At 40.4% G+C, this 6,679-nt stretch overlaps 1 annotated feature.

The window, feature by feature from the left end:
- Positions 2,385 to 3,584: an enhancer, noted in NCBI's record as "CDK7 strongly-dependent group 2 enhancer chr3:18617865-18619064 (GRCh37/hg19 assembly coordinates)". NCBI's record gives its function as "activates an origin of replication core promoter dependent on BRD2, BRD4, P300/CBP, MED14 and CDK7 cofactors, with strong dependence on CDK7, by STARR-seq in HCT116 cells {active_cell/tissue: HCT116}" and the evidence as "EXISTENCE:reporter gene assay evidence [ECO:0000049][PMID:35650434]".

Consider the following 6,679-nt stretch of genomic DNA (forward strand, 5'->3'; position numbering starts at 1 on the left):
GATAAAGTTGTACTCCTTCTATCTTCTTCTTTTTTCATCTTTATTAAGAGTACAGGAAGACAATAGAACTATCTGCAGCTACCAGGAATGTTCTTCCAAGCCAGTGTTCCCCCAAGTCTCTCTAATGCAATGATATTGGTAAAAGAAATAAATTCATTTACTGGATGTGATACTTAATGCAGGCCTGAGGCTGGAGTCCCACTGTCTGTCCTGAGTCAGTGAGGAGGAAGGCCAAATTGACAACATTGGGATGATGGGAAATTCAAGCCATTTGTCATCCACAATTCAGATCATATGATATATTTCAAGATTCCTCCTGATGTAGTTATATTGGAAAAGTCTTGAAAGGTCTTCACAATGTGACAGTAAAATCTGACAGTGAGGGAAGCTGGTTATTTCTTTTCTTTTCTTTATTTTTTTGATATGACTTTTCAAAGGTGGCGTTAAAGATTTACCTGTTTTGATTTAGGGGACCATAACGACATTGCAGGAGAAATAAGGTCAAGATGTAATAGGGAGTTGTCATACTGTCTCATGATTCTTCTTACGTTAAATAACTTTGGCAGATAATCCTCCCATGGAGTAGGTGGGGAGCAGGACAGGAGCAGTGCTGAAGGAGAGGGATGGCAGACCCATGCAAAGGGTATTCTCTGGACCTTAAGAGTGTACGATTATGACGCTAAACGAGTTACTATAAAGAGCAAAGGCTCTACCTGGAATTCTAACAATAGTTCACCATAATACTGGAACTTGAATTGTAACTCCTGTGCTATTAAAATATATCAGTTGGTATATACCCAGTAATGGGATGGCTGGGTCAAATGGTATTTCTAGTTCTAGATCCCTGAGGAATCGCCACACTGACTTCCACAATGGTTGAACTAGTTTACAGTCCCACCAACAGTGTAAAAGTATTCCTATTTCTCCACATCCTCTCCAGCACCTGTTGTTTCCTGACTTTTTAATGACTGCCATTCTAACTGGTGTGAGATGGTATCTCATTGTGGTTTTGATTTGCATTTCTCTGATGGCCAGTGATGATGAGCATTTTTTCATGTATAACAAACCTGCACGTTGTGCACATGCACCCTAAAACTTAAAGAATAAAAAAAAATAAATAAGATATATCAATTGGTGTATTTAGTATATTCAATATACTAAGCATACTTTTTTAGCTATATGGACAAAAACATAAGGCTTCTATATCAAGAAAAATGAGACTGAAGCAAAGAAAACCAGTCTATAGAATGCTTTGAAATAAGTAGATTTACTTCAGATCGAGAAACAACACTTTTGTATATAGTGGTATAACCCAGGTGGTACAAATGGTTAAAAGGTGTTCTTGATTGATTCTTTGGTAAACTCACTCAGTCCATCAGTTACCATGCTTTTGGCTGCAAGTAACTTTTAAAAATGAATTAAATAATAAGAATAATTTGTATGGTCACAAAACAGGAGCACTGGAAATAGACATTTCCACGACTTGTTAATTCAGTGTCCCGAGATGATCCCAGTGACCCAGATTCTTTCCCTGATCCATTCTCTCATCCTCTGTTGGTATTTCCCCTCAGTTTGTTTCCTCAGGGACACAAAGTAACGGCTGTGACCCTAGGTGTCGTGTCTTCACACAACCACATGGAGTGGCAGAGAAAAGGAAAGTTCTCCTTAAACGTTTCTTTTTATCAGAGAAGGAACTTTTTGGGGAGAAACTCCTTAGGAGACTTCCCTGTAAGTTTCGTTAGCCAGGGTTGTATCACAGGCCATTGCCTTAGTCAGTCTCTTGCATGATGAATCAAATTACCAAGAATGCTTATACTAATTGAGTCATTGTGCATGTAAGTTTTTGAACAAACCAAAAAAAAAAAAAAAACAAAACACCGCTCACACACACACGTTTCATCCTGGGAACATTTCTATATGCAAAAACTGCATGGCGTAATCCTAAGAGAATTATTTTCACTTACGAAATTATTATCTGACAACAAAAAAGATGATTAAAAAGTAGAATAAATTGCATAGTATGATGCACACAGAATGCTATTGTTGCAATAAATTGTAAGCTTCATGAGAGTAGAAACTTTCTGTCTTGTGTGATGTATCTCCAGTGTGGAGAATAATGCCTGAAACATAATGGATGTACAATCAACATTTGTTGAAGACATGGATCCTTGTTTCTTAGCCATTGCAGAGCCCCACTAAATGCCTCACTCCTGTTCTGCTTCTTTCATTCACGCACTTCCCTCCAGATCTGGCCTATCCTGGACCATCAGGATGTGTGTCCCGGGAATGTGTGCACCACCAGATTCCTCAGCCAGTATCTGTGCCTCATCCCGTTCCTCACTTCATTATTGATGTCTGTTTTTCCACCAACTCCAGTGGTAATCTCCCCTCCCTCACCAAGGGGTTTTCTCATTATTTCCAAGAGTCTTTGACAATATCTCAGGGTACTCATGAACGTGTCTCCCATATCTTAAATTCTATCTCTCTCAGTGGTAGGTTACCTGGGAAGCATTTGAGAGGGCTGTCTCACTCGGGCCACAGTGTCCAGTACCCACCCTGAGGTCATACTTACCTGTTGTGAGGGTGCTGCCTCCGGTGCCCTCAGATCCACATGCCTTCCCTTAGAATATCAAGCAGTGCTGAATTCCCTGTGGTCCTCACAGCCTTGAGGACACAGTGTGATCCATATAGAAAAATCAAGAAAGCTCCCCTTCCCATGGTGTCACAGCTTCTCACGTATCCACCAACTAGAACTTCTTATCTTTGTTGTCTACCAGAGTTCTTTGGTTTCTTCCTATGACACATAGAGCTCTGGCAGGATTCTTTGGGATGGGGCTGGGGAACAGACACCACATAATCAATTTTGTTTTCTCTACTTCTTGTTTCTGCTGACCTTTGTACTGGAAGTCATTATTTTTCCACTCTTTCCTTCTGCATTCCCCAAAGTTCATGTGTTGAAACTTAATCACCAATGTGATATTATGAAGAAATGGAGGCTTTAGGAGGTGATTAAGTCATAAGGGCAGAGCCGTCGTAAATAGGATTACTAACCTCATAAAAGAGGTGGAAGGGAGTGCCCCTTTTTGCCCTTTTATCTCTTCTGTCAGATGAGGACACCTAGGTGGTGCCATCTGTGAGGAATGGGCCCTGACCACTCACCAAACCTGCTGGAGCCTTGATCTTGGACTGCCCAGCCTTCAGAACTGGGAGAAATAATGTCCGTTGTTCATAAATTACCCAGTCTAAGATATTTGCTACAGCAGCCAGAATAGAATAAGACACCTTCCCCCATTTCCTAAGATACAACTACATGAATTTTATACAGACTCAGCCAGGAAAATACACTCATAATTCTTCCTTTTCTCCCTTCCCAAAGACGAAGGTGTTTACTGCAAAAACAAAGAGGTCTTGAACAGGAAGAAGAAGATATCAGAACCACCTATAGAAAAGACTCAATCCTATACTAGCTAGGCATCCTTTCATTCCATAGTTGTTTGTGAGGCCCTTAAATGCCACTGTGGTAGGAGCTTTGAGTGCCCTGCACACATTCTCTTAGCTTTGGCCTCTACATGTTTCCAAAACCGCTTATGAAAGCACTTTCAGTGCTCTCCAGAGGCTTTTTCTCTGGAAGGTTGGGTGGCCCAACCACAGGGCAGGCTGAAGAGTGCGAATGACTCTAGAAGCAGTGCCCAAAAGGCACATGGGAACTGGCGAATAAATACCTGCTCTCCATATTCCTCAGCTGGGATAACTCTGAGGTGTTTCCTATATTATCTCCCACAGTTCCCTGGAAGGATTGACTCTCAGTTGTCCGCAGCAAGTATCTGCTTGATAATGCATGCCTTATGGGATTTTTCTCCTCCTTGTCTCATGTACCCATTCCTTTTCCAGTTTCCTGGGATCATGTTCCAAATATACTTCCTGCCCTCAAATCCTTATGTCAGGATCTGCTTCTGGGAACCAAGTCAAGACAGATACTAAAGGGTATTAAGTCTATCAGGATTAATTTTTAAAAATTCTCACTCTGAAATGTACTTACATGGACACGGTTGTGATATCTCTATTATGGATCAAATTCAAGCACGTTTAGAGAAATATAAATTCTACATGTTAGTTTCAGCAAAGGGCATGAGATATTTTGGAGACACACACACACACACACACACACACACACACACACAGACACGCACATACAGATACACACAAGATAACATGAATGTGAATATTTCTAAGAATAATACCTTGAGTTTTTAGTGACATTTTCTGCCTTGTTTACAAGATGTATTCTTACAATATAAATGTACAGGAGGTTTTCTTTAAAAATTTTGACTTTCTTATGTAGTGCTTCTGTTGTTGACAGTAACTCCAACTGCCTCTTGTTTGTAACTGAAGTTCATACAACAGACTATGAGCCAAAGTTAGTGATTAACTGTTTGGAAAGAATCTCCCAAAATACACTTGTTTGTAATATGTCTTGCTTTTGTGTCTCAGGTGTAAAATAATTGGCATTTTATGCCCAATTTGCCTTTTGCAAACGGTATGTTGTGCAGTGAGACTTGAGTGTCTTCGTAGGACACATTTTCAGAATAGTAGTTCAAGGCACTTTCATAATCCCGTCACCTGGAGGACAGACTTCTCATTTCCCACCGCTATTTTCATCCAGGTCATCATAAAAATGTTCAATTTTCCTTCTGGAGTAGACTGATTCAATTTTAAATATAACAATTTATGAAGTGTACATTATCTTCTCCCAGAGTAATATTCTCTGACAGTAACCTCAACTGTTTTTCTTTTCCAGAGATAAAATGATGTTTTAATAATTCCAAGTGGTTTCAATAAGCGAATCTAACACTGCTGCTTTCTTTTGATGGTATAAATTGGAGACCAAATGGCTTATTTAGACACACTGCTGTGCCTTTATTAAAGTACATATATTTGTATTAAAAATATATAGTTAAAATTAGATAATGTGCACAACAGATGCCTCAGTTATATGCTCTATTCCTGAACATTGTCCTATTTCTGGCAAAGAGTTCCAAGTTTTCATACTCTTACTACGAACTAAAGGATTAACTGAGACCACCCTGTCTCAAATACCAGAATCTCTGGTTTGCGAAATGTGTCCTCTTTTGGGAGGGAGGTTCAAGTGTCATTCTTGTGCTAGGCATGCAATTTTTACTTCCCCTGACTCTTTTCATTTTAATGGCATCTCTCGCCCAACCTCTTGCACTACTTCTATTGTGTATTTAATTGATCTAGAATGGACTCGGTCTCTACTCTTGGTTCCAAGACTTCCCATTCTCCACCCAGATAATAATTTCCTGGAACACTCTCTTTGTTGTATGGGGCTGATTTTATTGAAAATTTGGTGCAGTAGAGGACATTTACATCACAGAAACATAGTCACTTTGTATTAGATGTTTAGACATCCTTATACATAAAGGCAGTTTAGATACTCCCCACTCTGGGATATTTCTCTGATCATACCTTCCTACACAGTGCCCTGGCCTGAACACTGTTAATCTGCTTTCCTACCCCTTTTTTTCCCTCACATCAGTCTCAGCAAAACAAGCCCAATTTATTGCATTTTATTCCACTGAGAAATGCAACCGATTTTTTGTTCTCTCCTCTTCTGTGGGTCTATCTTTTCACACCTAAATGGCCCCTCATGAGATTTTGTTAAGTAGACACAGTTCCCTCCCTAAGAGGGATTCTCATGCCAGCTCTTAAGACAATTGGTTTTCCTTTTACTCTGCCATGAGAGCTTTGTAACCAGTCTTCTCAAATCCTGCCTTGCTTCACACCAGACTCCACATGTTTTTAAACCGTAAACTTGATCTTGTCTCTGATCCTCTGTTTTAAACCTTCCCACTGTTCTTGCGCCATTGCTCAAAGCTTCCTTCCTGGTGCTGTGCAGCAGAGGGGAACAGCAGCCACCGCAGAAGCTCCTAGAAACATCTCCTCAAAAAACTAAAAATTTTAATCTGTAATAAAGCAAGAAAAAGTGTTGCCTTAATATACTGGTGGAAATACACTGCAGCTGGGGGAAGACAACAGAAGGGAAAAACAAAAAATAGACCTCAACTTCTGGGGAGGGGAGGGCCTGCGTGACAGCTCAGCGTTCAGCTGGGAGAGGGGCAGGAGAATTTGTGAAGGTCCCCACCCGTACTCTTGCCAGACTCAGGGACACTATGCCTATCTAGAATTGAGGATTAATCAGAGCATCAGAAAATGCCTTCCCTCCTCCACTACCCCGACACCAGGCTGACAAACATCAAGTAATAATCACAGTGAAATAGACCTGTGAGAGCTGCAAGAGACAGATTGTCTTTGGAGAGCAGTATAAAGGGAAGACCGAAATCCAACTGGGAAGTAAATGCCAAGGAAATGACCTTTTAGAAGCCAGCACCAGCCTAAAGAGATGGTATGACTAGCAGAATTTAAAGTCTGAAGTACAATAAGGGTAACTATACCAATAACAAACCTGGCAACCAGCCAACTCCTGAGTAGATTACATAAACCTTCAGCACTAAAGGCCCAGCAGAAGGAAAGGTATGCTCATCTCCAAGCATAAAATATAGTTACCGTAGTATTCACTGTTTTACACTAGATGAGCAGCTTTCAACAAAAATATGTGTGACATATGCAAAGGCAAGTAAAGCACACTTGGAAGAGACAA

Source organism: Homo sapiens, chromosome 3 (assembly GCF_000001405.40).
Source record: "Homo sapiens chromosome 3, GRCh38.p14 Primary Assembly".
Classification (NCBI taxonomy): Eukaryota; Metazoa; Chordata; class Mammalia; order Primates; family Hominidae; genus Homo; species Homo sapiens.